Genomic DNA, 16336 nt, shown 5'->3' with positions numbered 1-16336 from the left:
AAGGTTTTGTAGTCAGGCAGACCTTGATCTAGAGCTGTCACTTGTCAGCTGCAGGACCCTGAGTAAGTTATGCAATTTTTTTGGGCTCCAGTTTTCCCCATCGGCAAAATGGATATGATAATAGAACCTACCTCACAGGGTTGATGTCAGGAGCAAATGAGACAATGCATCTAAAATATCTGTATAGAAAAAGCATTCGATAAATGGTAAGCTTATCTATTTCCCACTTGACTCACTGAGGATCAGGACTGGCCCCTATCTGCCCTTGCATACCTCTCCAGCATTTACACAGTCCTCTGAGGGCACCAGCCACACAATACTTATTGAATGAATGAGCAGGGTTTGTCAACACAAGGTTACGGGAGATAACCAATACAGTGCTGTGGTTGGAGTGTGTTCCCCAAAGTTCATGTGTTAGAAACTTAAATCTCCAGTGCAACAGTGTTGAGAGGTGGGATCTTTAACAGGTGATCAGGTCATGAGGGCTCTACCCCCATGAAAGAATTAATGCTGTTATTATGGGGGTGGGTTCCTCATAAAGGATGAGTTTGGACCCCTTCCCTTTCTCTGCCACCCATGTCATGGCTTCTGCCATGATATGATACAGTAAGAAGGCTCTCACCAGATACTGCCCCCTCAATCTTGGACTTTCCAGCCTCCATAATCATAAGCCAATAAGCCACTACTCTTATTTTTTTGAGATAGGGTCTTGCTCTGTTGCCCAGGCTGGAATGCAGTGATACGATCATGGCTCACTGCAGCCTCAACCTCCTGGGCTCAAGCAATCCTCCCACCTGAGCCTCCCACGTAGCTGCGACTATAGGTGTGTGCCACCTCACCCGGCTAATTTTTAAAATTTTTGTAGAGACAGGGTCTTGCCATGTTGCCCAGGCTGGTCTTGAACTCCTGGGCTCAAGGGATCTTCCTACCTCAGCCTCCCAAAGTGCTGGGGTTATGGGCATGAGCTACCATACTCAGCCTAAACTTCTATTTATTATAAATTATCCAGTCTGCAGTTTCCTTGTTATAGCATCACAAAACGAGCTAAGACATATAGTGTCAAAGGTCTATGGAGCCACAGGCAGGGTTTATGGAACCACAGGCAGGGTCTATGAACATGGAATTTGGAATTCTTTAAATTGCAGTGCTGCATGAGAATAAAATCAATGGAAGCCCAACAGAGAAGGGGAGGAGCCCTCCACAGATGAATCAGACTCTAAGAGAGAAAATAATAACTGGCCCTATTTGCAAATGATTTAGGCCATCAGCTTTTTTGAGTAACTGTTATTCCAAAACCAAAGCCAATGTCCCTTTTTCAAGGAACCTTTTGCTCTGCTCAAGAGACAAAATTCCACACATTCATTAACCTATAAACAAGGCAAGATCCAATCACATGTTAACCCAAAAAGCTATAGGAGCTCAAGAAAGTGAGTAGTGGAGACTAAGTTGGGCCCTAACAGTTGAGTAGGATTCCCAAAGCTGGACAATAAAGGGGAACTGTATGTTTCTAGGCACCGACAGGGGATGGCGCAGAATGTAAGAGTGGGCTTAAGCAGATGATTCTGACTGAGGCAGGGGGTTCTTAGAGTAGCTGAGCACATGCCTCTGGTGTGAGAAGCTGCCCGCGGCCCCTGCCAGCCCAGCAGGGAGCATGTCTGCACACGTGGGTCACAGAGACTTACCATGCTGGAGTGGACTGTAGCCTGCTCAATGTACCTTGCAATGCCCGTGACAAATGCATTCCTGTCCTCAAAGTTTGTGTCAAAGTTAGCCTGTGGAATTAGAGGACAGGAACATTTTGGTTGTTAGAAAACAGTTCCAAGTTGGCTGGGTGTCCAGAGGGCAAACTGCTGCCAACAAACAACGCAAGCTCTCTGTGGAAACCTCCTGCTGCGTCACCTTTCATCTTGCCCCTTCCCCACAAAGTCCCACTCTCAATCACACTGGGCAGGAGCTGGTGATGACAGGGTCTGCCGTCTGCTTCCCATCAGTAATCAGGTTCACTCATCTGAGCTTCAGAAGCAGATGCTTAAACTCCACAAGCCCAAATAGCTGCTAAAAGTTAAGATGTGCATTGCTTTGATTCGGCAGTTCCAGAAATACTCACCCAAGGGTGTGGATATATAGGTACAAGAATAATTACTGTGGCTGTTTTTTGTGATTAAAACAAACTGTAAACAACCTACATATCCATCAACAGTGAAAGGCTAAATATATATATATATATATATATATATACATAAAATAGCATATCCATAAATGGACTTTTAAGTACCATGAGGTGGCTAAGCCTAATGTGGTAGTATTGTGGTATTGTCATGGAAAAATATCCATAATAAATTTTAAGTTAAAAAGCCAACTCACAAAGCAATAAATATAGTATGGTTCTCTATTGGTTAAAAAAAAAATATATGTATATATATATGCATATATATACACACACACATATATATGTATATTTGGTAAAAAAGGTATATATCCGCATAGTTATAGAAAAAATTTATATGTTTTTGTATACTTTTTTGTATACTTTTCTGTATTGCTTATAATAAAAAAGATATTTGTATAATTAAAATTTTAATCTGGGTTAGAAGATGTGAATCAATGAAGTTTATGGGCCGAACCTTCAAGCATGTACTTCATACATCTACTGAATGAAATTTAAGAATTTATTATGTATTTATATTTAGTCTCCTGTAGCAATCTGAGAACTATCAAAAGGTCAAACACAGCTAAGACTTTCAAATTAGCATATCCTTTCTTAACATGGCATCTGGCCTGGCACACCCAGACAAGGGGCTATACCGACTCCCGGCCCTGATAGGTCATAGTTTGGAACAATCTGATGGTGGTTTATCACAAGCTTTGCTCTCTTAGGCAAAAGCAAACAACTGTGACCAGCTTCCCTGAGCCATGAGCTGCTATGAGGTGTTGTAGTGCCCTCCTCACATGCATGAAGGAAAAGTAATTACCCAGGCAGGCTCTGGGGTTTCTAAATTGCAATATTTAATTCATGAGGCCAGAGCTGCCAAAACCTTGGTTGGTACAGCAGCAAGAATAGCCTGGAAGGTATTTGGGGTCAAAGCAGATCAACAAGACTTCCCTGGGGGAGGGAGGGAAACAGTCCTGCGGCACATTTAGTAGCTAATCTGTTCCTTATACTCGGCTCTACCAGCGCACAAGGGACTCCATCAGCTCACAACCTTTCACCTTCTAGATGCAGACCTCCCCTTCCCTCTGCCTTAGGGCAAACTCTCTTAGGGGATCCCCAGAATTCCTGGGCCCCCTGGTGCTATCTACCATTTCCATTACCTGGTACATGATGGAGGAAGGTGGAGGCTCGATGCATGGCTGCTGGTCGGGGAGGGGAAGCTCTTCAAGCAGGTCCACGTTGGACAGGGCATCTTCCAGGGTGACGTGCGTGGTCATGGCTGCAGTTTCTGTATTCTGCACTGAAGGGAAGGAAGAGAAGGTCAGTGGAGAATTTCAGGGGCCTCTAAAATTCCTCTTAACCGCACCATGACCAGCATCCTTTGGGAGAATAAAGAGAGTTAAAATGCATTGAGGCCACTTCCACTCACCACTTCTTCCCAAGGTGCTCTCGATGTGTATCTTTTACATCTCAGGATCTCTTTATGGCTAACAAGGTATTTTGTGTGCACTTGGTTGAGCCTCACCACCACCCTCTGTGATCAACATGGAAGGTGGTACCCTATCCATATAACTGATGAAAAATCAAGGCTCAGAGAAATTATGTGATGCCCACACAGTCACGTGACCACAAGCGAGGGACCTCAAGTGGGATGTGAGAACATAGGTCATGGTTAGTTTCTCCACCTTTTGTTCTTCATAAGGATATTTATGAGTTCCACTCTTAAATTACCATGCAATACAATTATCCAGGATCGTGACAGCCAAGATAATCAACTGAAAACCAGAGCCCGGGTTTTTAGGCTAATTAAACTGGGATTAAAATAACTCAATTCCTGCAAATCAACCTTCTTTGCAAAGATGGAGGAGCCACTGTCTTCCTTGACCTGGGTATGTTTTGTGAGCCACATCAAACAAATCAGCCCTAAATGGATATTTCTGTGTCTTAGACCCTGGCACAGCGCAGCTGCTTTGATAGTATGTTTGGCAGGATTAGAAGCTGAAGAGAATCTGAACAGCACAGTTACCCAACTAGAGCTAATTCCTATTTTAAGAACTCAGCACCCAGCAAACAGAATACTCATTTTTCCCCCCAAACATATGTGAAACACTGCTTAAAAACTAATCATGATTTAGGCTATAAATCAGGTTCCCCCAAGTTTCTTCAAAAATGATGGCCTACAAGTCACATTCACTTATTATTAAATATAATTCAAGGAAATTAGAAATCAATAATGCAAATTGTAGCAATAAAATCCCATACCTTTGAAAATTTATAAAACATACTTCAAGGTCATTCATAACTAAAGAGGAATTCAAATAGAAATGATAAGATCTTTAGAAATGAAAGATGGAAAGCACTAATACATGTCTTCAACACATTTAGCTGAAAGAAAAGTGGAACTAAATGAAGTTAATGTTACACTCAAAAACCTTAAGAGAACAAAAATCAGCCCAGAGAAATGAGAACAGAGGGATTGAGAGTTACAAAGGCAGACATAAAGCAAAAAGCAAAGCAAAATAAAACGTTAACAGTAGAGGTGAACAAAAACACTAAAAGCTGAGTTTCAGAAAAATATTATTAATAATAATAAAGCCAACCCTAAACACACGATTAAGAGGGACACAAAGAGAAGGGCCACTGTGCTTGTCTGAGAATCCCTTCCTAACCACCTTCGATCCCAGGGAGTTGTGAGATCCTGGGGCTGGGATTTCTGCTGTGAATGTCAGTGAGTTTGCTTTGCTTGTTAGGAAATACAGTGTCTAACATTAGGGGGGAAAAGGACCATCAACACAAGAATTTGGTCCACGGGCTGCCAAGGACTAAAACAACTGCAGAATATACCTAAGGTCCTGCTGCCCCGAGACTAATACCTGCCTTAGGCCCAAGGCTGGGAGGGCAGACTGGGGCTGAGCCTTCACTGGCTGCTGTGCAGCTAACTAGATTCACATTTCACTGAGTTCTCAAACACACCTTCCCATCACGTACCATGACAACAGCAAATGCTGCATCCAGTGAGGGCTCACTGAGCCCAGAGGTAACTTCCTCATCTGCCCTCTGCAGAAGGCTGGTCTCCTATGGTGGTTTCAGGTCCTCTCCACACCTAAGCTTCTTCCTCTTCTCTCCCCCACAATTCTAAGTGTGGCATTCAGTTCTACAGCAAAACCACTTCACTGATCCATTGAAAGAAAAGAAAAAAAAAAGACTGTCTTCCTTCTTACACTACTACTAGGTCCATTTTACAGGAGGGAGTAATGATTTTACTGGGCATAATGATCTTCAACCTCCAAAGCCCTAGTAATTCTCTTCATTAATTCCAATTATAATAATAGTGAAACATTTCTTTAGCCCTTACTCTGTGTCAGACACTATGCGAAGTACTTGACTATTTCAATCTTGCATCCACCCTATAAAGGTAGGTACTATGATTATTCCCAGTCTATAGATGAACAAACAGAACCTCGGCATTTAATTTCATAGGATCAAGTGCTGGCAAGTGGTGGAGGGAGGTCTGACCCAGGTTTGTCCAGCTCCATAGTCTGAAGTCAGCTTCCTTACTACATACTTCCTTCCAAGGGCTCATGCTCACATTTTGAGATTACACTCGATAAGTGGAGGTTTATTTCATACCAACCTCTACGCTAGGTGTTTTCAAACACTCTGTGTTAATGGTTCTTGGCCCTGCTTGTGCCAAAAAATCATGTGCACAGCTTCTTAATAACACAATGCCTGGGTTCCAACCAGGGGACCAGGAAGACTGCATTTGAAAGGTGTCCTATCTCATTTTCAATAAGGAAAATCCAGATGAAACTTACAAGGAGATACACCATTTCTCACTGATTAGATCGACTCAAATCCAAAAGTTTGACTACACATGCTGTTGGCAAGACTATGGAGAAACAGGATCTACCAAACATTGTTAGTAGGGATGGCAAAATGACACAACTCCCGTAGGAGGAAATCTGGCAATATCTAACAAACTTCCATAAGCATTTTACCATTTGACCAGCAATCCCACTTCTAGGAATCTGTCCCAAAGATGCATTGACAAAAATACACAAAGATATATGCACAAGGCCATTCACAGCAGGACTACTTGTGATAGCAAAAACTGAAAACAGCAAACATCCATTGACATAGTTAGGATACTTGCCCTCACCCAAATCTCATGTTGAATTCTAATCCCCAGTGTTGGAGGTGGGGCCTGGTGGGAGGTGTTTGGATCATGTGGGCAGGTCCCTCATGAATGGCTTGGGCCATCCCCTTGGTGATGAGTGAGTTCTGAGTTCACAGGAGATCTGGTCATTTTAAAAGTGTGTGGCACCTCCCTCCCCCACACTGCCCACTCTCTTGCTCCTGCTTCCACCATATGGTATAACTGTTACCCCTCTGCCTTCTGCCATGATTGAAAGCTTTCTGTGGCCTCCCCAGAAGCTGAGCAGATGCTGGCACCATGCTTCCTGTACAGCCTGTGGAACCTTGAGGTCAATTAAACCTCTTTTCTTTATAAATTACCCAGTCTCAGATATTTCTTTATAGCAGTGCAAGAATGGCCTAATACATCCATTAACAGAGGACTGTCTGGATAAACTATGGTGCCACTGTACAGGGAAATATGAAGCAGCAGGAAAATGGAGTGAGGACCCTCTCTACATGCAACTACGGGTGATCTCCAGGACATGGTATGGAGAGCATGCACTCATTTACCCAGGAGAGGGGGCTGCAGATGTCTACACACACATCTTCTACTTAAAAAACAAACAATGGAAAGGCAAGCCATATGCTTTTAAAAATTAGTTACCTATGGAAAACAGGAAAAGAAGGGAAAACAGTTAAGAGATAGGGGCTAGAATCCTTTGAATATGCCTTATTTTGTAGATTTGACTTTGAAAACGTCAAAACATTTTACATACTTATAAAATAAAATTTAAATTTATAAAAAGTGGCCCCCAAATCGAAAAGTAAAATGAAACAAATGAATGTATATATATGTTGTACTATTGGAGTAACTCCACAGAAAGGGACTATTATTCCAAGTGATTTTAAAATCGAGTGATGTGCTGGAAGAGCCCTGATGGATCACAAAGACATCTAATAAAAGCTTGGTTTTTATTACTTTGTTACTGTTAGATGAGCCTGTGAACCAACCTTTATGTTGAGAATTGGTAAATAAAAGCAAACATTTAACCTGTCTTTCTTAAACTATACCACTAGATAACCGAACTATAGAAGAGATGGATGTTTCTTTCCATAAAAGTATTTTTTTCCTTTTTAACAGAAAAATGATAATATCCTTGTTTTCCAACCTCTACAAACAAATGGATCTAGGCACGGATCATCATCAGCTGTTAACATCCCTAAATGAAAGACAATCAGATATTATGTGCTTAATGATGGAAAAACGCACCAAGAATGCTGGATCCAAAACAAAACACCTGAATCTAATTAAGCCTTTGACGCCAACTCACAGGAAATATAAGAGGGCAGAAAAACATGCTACACCCCAGTGATGTAATCAGCAAAATGCAATCTATGACAAATTCTGCTGGACAAATGACTCAGGACCTCTAACAAATAAATTGCAAAGATAGAAAAGAGAGATGGGAGGAAAGTCTATAGATTTTGAAGAGACTGAACACACTATCATGTGTGGACCTTATTTGGATCCTATTTCAAACAAACCACCATACAAATAAAATTATAACTTTATGAGAAAATTAGAAAATTAGTACTGACTGGATATTTGATAATATGAAGGAAATATTGTATTTAGGTTTGATAATATCAAGGTTATGTTTTAAAAGAACCTATATCTTCCAGAAAGATCTACTAAAATATAGATAAAAGGACACAGGGTTTTGCTTCTAAATAATACTAGATGGGGGAAGAGTGAATAGAAATGAAACAAATTCGCAGTGAGTTAGTAACTATAGATTGTGTGTGACACATACATAGAAATTACTGTATTTTTCCATCCAATTTTATATATGTTTCAAATTTTTCATAAAATCCCCTAGATCAGTTTATAAGCTCCCAGCTCTTATCCAACTTCCCTTTTTTTCTCCTGTAACTAGGTTTCTTCTGGGCTACTCAAACTTAAAAAATACTCATTTACAGACGGGTGTGGTGGCTCACGCCTGTAATCCCAGCACTTTGGGAGGCTGAGACGGGTGGATCACCTGAGGTCAGGAGTTCGAGACCAGCCTGACCAGCCTGGTCAATTTTTCTTTAGTAGAAATCCCATTTCTACTAAAAATACAAAAAAAAAAAAAAAATTAGCCAGGCGTGGTGGTGGGTGCCTGTAATCCCAGCTACTCAGGAGACTGAGGCAGGAAAATCACTTGAACCCAGGAGGCAGAGGTTGCAGTGAGCCAAGATCATGCCATTGCACTCCAGCCTGGGCAACAAGGGCAAAACTTCATCACACACACACACACAAAAATACTCATTTACCAGAATAACCATTAAGTTCTCCTCTGTAGCATAATAGTACCCCTGAACATCCCTTGAAGAGAATCAATAAGTAAGTGAACAACCTACAAAGCAAATAAATTAGGAGTCTGTTTATGTTAATGCTATCTTTCTTCTCCCCTGGCAAATACAACTTCTGTAGTGGATTTCTATGAGCATTGGTAGATCATTCAGTGCCTAAGGGAGAAGGAAATCCGACATTTTTAGCTCAAGTGCTGGTAGGCACTGCCAAATCCACATCAATCAGAAAGGAAAAATATTCTGGAAATTTGAACAGAGGTATAAATGAAAATAAGAACGTACTTCTTTCCTGCCCAAGTGTCCTGCCTGTTACGCAATCTTCCAAGTGAGAATGATTCTTTATATTCGGTCTACGAACATGTGACCATTTCATCATTTTGAAAAAGAAATTAATAAAATATTTAAAAGTTAACAGTGTTCTGGGAGCATCATTTACCAAACACAGCTGCAAATTCTCAGTGGCGGGCATTCATGATGGGTTTAAATGCAGTGTCTTCATAACAAACTCAGTCGGTGGCCTGGTTTCACCAAAAGTAATAATAACATTGGGCACACAAGCAATTTGCTTCTGAGAAGGGGGGGCTTTAGGTGCCCCCCCAGGCAGACATGACTGACAGACCCCAAGCAAGAGGGGGGTGGGTCCCATAAATGCAGGGCGACTGCCAGGAGAACATGGCTTTGGAAATGCAGGTTCTGACATTTACAGCTTAAACCCTGTTTCTCTGTAAGCAAAATACTTGCATTGTCATTATCTGTTTGATTTTTCTGGAAAGAAATGAAATATTAAGACTTTTTACTGAAGTGAAATATTAGGCTAGTGTAGTGGGTAAGCTTGAGTTCTGGGTTTCAATCTGTCATCTGCCACTTATGAGCTATATAAACAATAGCATGTTCCTTAACCTCTCCGAGCCTCAGTTTCCTTACCTTGTAAGGGTGACAATTTACAATAGTGCCTGTCCTCAATGTTTATTTTGATTATATAACTACAGCATGTAGAATACTTAACACAGTAGCCAGCAAAGACATGTCAAAAGACAAAATTACAATAAATTTATAGAATTAATTGTCCTTAATTTGTGATTTATGAATTGAAGCACCTCCTTTCTATACAATAGAATGAAAGCTCCCACTGGGCAATAGCAAAACTGTGGGTTTTGTAAGGTGGGAATAAGAAAACACAACAATAGAAAAATAAATGATTAGTTAACATCAAGTTACTTCAGGTTACTTTTTTGTAAGGATTAAGGCAGAGAGGATTTGCTTATTATGCTGACTCAGGTAGAGAGTGGCATTTAGCATGAGTGACTCCATTTTGATTTGGTCTGGTTTTTAGGGGCCTAGTACAGGAGCTTAGTCTTAAACAATGGCCTCCCATACTTTCGTTTAACATTCGCTAGTCTGTGGCCTGTTTTCAATAGAGAGGATGAATTAAATACTCCAACAATTCTCCTACCAAAAAAAGGAAGGTTTATTATTATTACACTAATATCTCAGTTCTATAGATCTTTCACATTGATTTTCTCAATCACAACTATCCTGCAAATTCAATTCAGCAGGTATAATTTTTGCTGTGTTTCTGAGGACACTGTGTTATGGAGAAGTAAACACTTTTATTCAAGGTCACATGGTCAGCTAGTGGCAGAGGTAGGGTAGAAACAGGATACCTTGACTCCCAATTCTATGCCTTTTCTTCTAGACCACACCTGGTTTTGTACCTTTTTGAAAGGTGCCAAACATATTTTTTTCCCAGTTTGGCTGCTTTTTCCTTCCTCAAGAAGAACACAACTCTGGCAAGCTAGAAAGATTAGGTAATTGTCACCTTTGTGTTTCATGAACATCAAGAGGCCAGGAAATATTTTCCATGTCCGTATGGCGCTCCAGCCAGAGGCTATATAAGTATACGTACACACACACAAACATACTGCACACACATATACATATATATACACATATGTATACATATATTACTACAAAGAAAATATTATATAGATATATAAATATAAAAATAAATAAAAGGGAGATTTAGGTTGTTCCTATTAAAAAAATTTACAGTCATTTGCCTCATAATGATGCTTCAGTCAACAGTGGATCATATATATGATGGTGTTCCCATAAGATTATAATATCATATTTTTACTGTACCTTTTCTATGTTTAGATACACAAATACTTCCCACTGTGTTGCAATTGCCTACAGTATTCAGTACAAGAACATGCCGTACAGGTTTGCAGCCCAGGAGCAATAGGCTATATACCATATAGCCTAGGTGTGTAGTAGGCTATGCCATCCAGGTTTGTGTAAATGCACTCTATGATGTTTTCTTGGCCCCAGAATAAAACCCAAATACTGCTACTTCTTCCTCCCATGCCAGGACAGACATTGCTAATTGGTAATGACTCTATTTTCCACTAAGTCCACAGACAGCTTCAGAATCCTCATGAAATACTGAGCTCCAGGAAGCCACCAGCAATCAATCTGAGTTTGCCCATGAAATAAAACATAACATGCCCTCTCTGGAGTAGAACCATGCATGTGAAAGCTCCTCAAGGTCAGGGACCATTTTCTTACCTATCACTGAAAATGCAGAGACCTTAGCAGAGTGCTGCAAACAGATTAGGCACTGGGGAAGTACTGAATGAAAGAATTCATGAACACACCTCAATCTCCTGACAACATAGGAGAGAGGAGACGACCTGAAGTTGGCCATGTCCTTACTTCTAGTTTTTCCATTCCTTCTCCTTCACTATTAATAACACAGATAAGGCCAGACTCGGTGGCTACACAGATAAGACCGGACTTGGTGGCTACACAGATAAGGCCAGACTCAGTGGCTCATGCCTGTAACCCCAACACTTTGGGAGGCCAAGATGGGCGGATCTCCTGAGGTCAGGAGTTCGAGACCAGCCTGGCCAACATGGTGAAACCTCATCCCTAATAAAAATACAAAAATTAGCTGGGCATAGTGGTGCGCACCTGTAGTCCCAGCTACTCGGGAGGGTGAGGCAGAATTGCTTGAACCTGGGAGGTGGAGGTTGCAGTGAGCTGAGATTGAGCCACTGTACTCCAGCCTGGGTGACGAAGCGAGACTCTGTCACAAAAAAAAAAAAGAAAAAGAGAAAAAACCCATACAGATAATTTAAATCAGCATAGAATACATAGTCATATCCATAAACTGCCAGGATAATTCTTACTTAATATTTTTTTCTAGGGATTCTCTTTTTTGCCACTTTTCATTTTAGAAGGAAGCTTTATATCACAATCACAGAGAGAAAACTAATATTATATGCCATAAACAGAGGAGCCATAAAAAACATAGTAATGAACATAAACACAGGTCTGGGTATTATCTGAAAATCATCCCATGTCCACCACTGATATCCATATGAGAGGCATTTTAGTGTGGAGGTGAACTGGATAGCTTGAGTTAGAATCTTACCTCTGCCAATACCTAGTTGTGTGACCTTGAGTAGGTGACATAACCTTTCTGAGCCTCACTCTCTTCATTTTGGTATAAGGGATAATGATAGTTCCTATCTCTTAGGCTTTGAAAACTCAATGAGTTAGTCCATGTAAATGGCTTGGCTGGTAGAAAGTGCTCGATAAAAGTTAGTGCCTCAGCAAAACTGAATCCAGAAACATATAAAAAAGATTATGCATCATGAACAAGTGAGATTTATCCCAGGAATGTTAAGATTGGATTAACATTAACATCAGAATATCAATTAACGTAATAAGCTATAGCAATAAAGGTCAGAAACCATATCATCTCAATACACACAGAAAAAGCATTTGACAAAATCTCAACGCCTTCATGATAAAAACACTCAAAAAACTAGGATTAGAGAATATCCTCAACTTGACAATAAGTGGCCACAAAAAACTCTTAGCTAATATCAGACTTAATGCTTTCTCACCAAGATCAAGAACAAGACAAATAAGTCTGCTCTTAGCATTTCTATTCAACATTGTACTGGCAGTTCTAGCCAAGGTAATTATGCAAGAAAATTAAATAAAAGACATCTAGATTAGAAAGGAAAAAGTAAAACTATTCCTATTTGCAGATAACATAGTCTTGTTATAGAAAATCCAAGAAAAATCCACTAAAAACTATTGAAAGTCATAAACAAGTTCAGCAAGTTTGTAGGATACAATATCAGCATATAAAAATCAGTAGTATCTCTATATACCAGCAATGCACAATATGAAAATAAAATGGAGAAAACAGTTCTATTTATAGTAGCATCAAAAATAATACAATACTTAGAAATAAACTTAACAAAATAAGTACAAAACATACACTCTGAAAGCAATAAAACCTTGTTGAAAATATTAAAGACCTAAATAAATAAAAAGATATCCCATGTCCATAGGTTGGAAGGCTTAATATTGTTAACACGGCAATACTGCCCAAACTAACCTACAGATTCAACATAATCTCTATGAAAATCTCATCTGGTTTCTTTGCAGAAATTGACAAGCTGATCCTAAAATTCATATGGAAATTCAAGGGACTCACTCAGGATAATCAAGACAATCTTGGGGGTGGGAGGAACTGAACAAAAATGGAAGACTCACACTTCCTGATTTCAAAACATACTCAAAACTACAGTAATCAAAATTGTGTGGTGTTACCATGAAGACAATGAACAATGATTAAATTAATGGAATTGAACTGAGAATCCAGAAATAAATCCTCACATTTATGGTCAATTGACAAGAGATGTAGAAAGAATATTCTTTTCAACAAATGATTCTAGGACAACTGGATACCCACATGCAAAATTTGTTTTATGGTGTGAGGTATAAATAATGTAATATATAATAAATTAACTCAAAATGGATCAAAGATCTATGTAAGAGCTAAAACTATAAAACTCATAAGAGTACATCTTTGTGACCTTGAATTATGTAATAACAACAAAAACACAAGCAACAAAATAAAAAATAAACTAAACATCAAAATAAAAAAAATTGTGCTTCAAAGGACGCCATCAAGAAAGTAAGTCCACAGAATAGAAGAAAATATTTGCAAATCATGTATTTGCTAAGTATATAAAATATGTAAATAATTCTTGGCTGGGCACAGTGGCTCATGCCTGTAATCCTAGTACTTTGGGAGGTTGATGGGAGAATCGCTTAAGCCAGGAGTTCAAGACCAGCCTGGGCAACAGAGTGATACCCTGTTTCTACAAAAAAATTTTTTTAAATAAAAATAAATTTAAAAAATGAATTCTTAAAACTCATTAATAAAGAGAACCTGATTTTAAAAATAGGCAAGGAACAGATTTTTCTCCAAAGATATACACATAGCCAATAAGCACACAGAAAGATTAATAACCTTAGTTATTAGGGAAATGCAAATCGATACCACTTCACACCCACTAGGATGGCTATAATGAAAAGGACAGACAATAACAAGTGTTGGCAAGGATGTGGAGAAACTGAGAATACCGTTGCTAATGGGAATGTAAGATGGTGCCGCAACTTTGGAAAATCGATTGGTATTTCCTCAAATTTTTAAACACACAGTTACCATTTGACCCAGCAATTCTACTCCTAGGCATACACCCAAGAGAAATGAAAATACAGGTCCACACAAAAACTTGTACATGGATGTTCATGGCACCATTATTTGTAATAGCTAAAAAGCAGAACTAACATATGCATCAACTGATAAATAAAAAATTGTATAGCCACATGGAGTATTTTTCAGCCATAAAAAGTAATTAAGTACTGATATTGATACAACATGAATAAACTTTGACAATATTATGCTAAGTGAAAGAAGCGAATCATTAAAGACCCCGTATTGTATTGTTCCATTTATTAAACATGCCCAGAATAGGCAAATCTATGGTTGCCAAGGGGTGGGGTTGGGGGAAATAGGTGGTGGTGCTAAAGGCCATGAGATTTCTTTTTGGGGTGCTAAAATGCTCTAAAACTGACTACGATTATGGGTTGTACAACTCTGTGAATATATTAAAAACCACTGAACGGTTTTTTTTTTTTTTTTTTTTACACAGAGTTTCACTCTTGTTCCCCAGGCTGGAGTGCAATGGCATGATCTCACTCACTGCAACCTCTGCCGGGTTCAAACGATTCTCCTGCCTCAGCCTCCCGAGTAGCTGGAATTACAGGCACCTGCCACCATGCCTGGCTAATTTTTGTATTTTCAGTAGAGACAGGGTTTTGCCATGTTGGCCAGGCTGGTCTCAAACTCCTGACCTCAGGTGATCCACCCACCTTGACCTCCCAAAGTGCTGGGGTTACAGACATGAGCCACCATGCCTGCCCTGAACTATATTTTTTAAATGAGTGAATTGTACAGTATGCAAACTATATTTCAATAAAGCTGCTACCAAAAGTTAGTATTTTTATAACTACTTTTTGGGAAACTTTGAGTGTAACATAAGCAGAAGGGGTACAAAGAGAGCTGGGGGTAGAGTAGGAGCTTGGGGAGTTTGGGGACTGTAAATGATGCCCCTACAAGCAGAGGCTGTGGAGAGCAAAAACCAACGGGGATAGCAGGGGAGGAAAAGAGTAATAGATACAACCATACCACCCCACAGAGCAGCCCCCTAAACTGCAGGGGTGAACTAGACCATACAGGGCAGGCCCAGCTAGCTTGTTTGTTCCCTCCCCCTGCCCCTGCCTGTTTTGGTTTCTCTGCCATCTGTCAGGTCCTGGGGCTGCCCCACCCTGGAGTAAAGACTTCTCAGATAATATTAACTGAGGAGTAATAATATTACTGCCTGTGAGGTGGGTGGGGTGATAGGTTCTGAGGTTTAGAATGAGAACAAGAAGGGAGCCTAGCTCTCTTTCTACTGATGAGGAAACCAAGGCTCAGAAAAGAGAAGGGACTTGTGCAAGGTCACTGGGCTAGTTAGGGGTGGAGCTAGGGTTAACACTGCACTTCCTGAGAAGACAAGGGACTGCAATAGAATAACTCATATGACACAGAGCTTTAAAAGAAAAGGACAGGGCCAGGCACAGTGGCTCGTGCCTGTAATCCCAGCACTTTGGGAGGCCGAGGCAGGTGGATCACCTGAGATCAGGAGTTCAAGACCAGCCTGACCAACATGGTGAAACCCCATTTCCACTAAAATTAAAAAATTACCCAGGTGTCATAGCACACGCCTGTAATCCCAGCTACTCGGGAGGCTGAGGCAGGAGAATCGCTTGAACCTGGGAGGCAGAGGTTGCAGTGAGCTGAGATCACGCCACTGCACTCCAGCTTGGGGAACAAGAGTGAAACTCCATCTCAAAATAAATAAATAGATAAATAAAAAGACAAGTATTGCAACAAAAATTCTGCAGCGAAATGAAAAGCCCTCTAAGAAAGGAAATATAATCAAAGGACTTTACTTGGCTGTCTGTGATCATCATTTATATATATTAATAATGTAGACACTTTAAACCTGATTTAGGTTAAAATAGAGCTCTTCCTATCTTGAGAGACGGGGGCAGGGGAGGGAGGGAGATGGTGTAAGAAAGTGAAATCTCCATCCATCACAGCAGGAAGTAAATAGACAACGTGCAGAATAGATAAATCGAGAAACAGCAGTGTAAGCATATCATTTAGAGATCTGGAGGCAGCTACTAGAAGAAACAGTGAGTTAAAAGTGGCAGCCTCTAGGGGAGGGTGGGTGCTGGATGGTTGTTTTTCATTATAAGGCTTTCAATACTATTTGA

General features: G+C 40.1%; 1 protein-coding gene across 7 annotated transcripts in view, besides 3 other annotated features; it reads right to left on the bottom strand.

Moving 5' to 3' along the window:
• CYFIP2 (cytoplasmic FMR1 interacting protein 2) overlaps nucleotides 1-16336 on the bottom strand; it is a 129472-nt gene that overhangs the window by 106804 nt on the left and 6332 nt on the right. For 6 of the 7 annotated variants that reach the window (XM_011534516.4, NM_001291722.2, NM_001037333.3 and 3 more), the window contains 2 exons: nucleotides 3313-3452; nucleotides 1683-1772 (listed from right to left, as the gene is read on the bottom strand). In XM_011534516.4, the coding sequence (XP_011532818.1) occupies nucleotides 1683-1772; nucleotides 3313-3429 (207 nt within the window). In that variant the 5' untranslated portion in view covers nucleotides 3430-3452. Of the gene's footprint in view, nucleotides 1-131; nucleotides 180-1682; nucleotides 1773-3312; nucleotides 3453-16336 lie in introns of those variants that run through there. The other variant, XM_047417101.1, reaches the window with a different exon arrangement.
• Nucleotides 1151-1651: an enhancer, noted in NCBI's record as "H3K4me1 hESC enhancer chr5:156714149-156714649 (GRCh37/hg19 assembly coordinates)". NCBI's record gives its function as "activates a minimal SCP1, AML or CMV promoter by ChIP-STARR-seq in primed H9 embryonic stem cells {active_cell/tissue: H9 hESC(primed)}" and the evidence as "EXISTENCE:reporter gene assay evidence [ECO:0000049][PMID:30033119]".
• Nucleotides 1652-2152: an enhancer, noted in NCBI's record as "H3K4me1 hESC enhancer chr5:156713648-156714148 (GRCh37/hg19 assembly coordinates)". NCBI's record gives its function as "activates a minimal SCP1, AML or CMV promoter by ChIP-STARR-seq in primed H9 embryonic stem cells {active_cell/tissue: H9 hESC(primed)}" and the evidence as "EXISTENCE:reporter gene assay evidence [ECO:0000049][PMID:30033119]".
• Nucleotides 15173-15312: an enhancer, noted in NCBI's record as "active region_23511". NCBI's record gives its function as "activates an Ori minimal core promoter by ATAC-STARR-seq in GM12878 lymphoblastoid cells {active_cell/tissue: GM12878}" and the evidence as "EXISTENCE:reporter gene assay evidence [ECO:0000049][PMID:35858748]".

This window comes from Homo sapiens, chromosome 5, assembly GCF_000001405.40.
Source record: "Homo sapiens chromosome 5, GRCh38.p14 Primary Assembly".
NCBI lineage: Eukaryota > Metazoa > Chordata > Mammalia > Primates > Hominidae > Homo > Homo sapiens.
The sequence above is the reverse complement of the archived record's forward strand: the minus strand, read 5'-3'. Positions and strand labels throughout refer to the sequence as shown.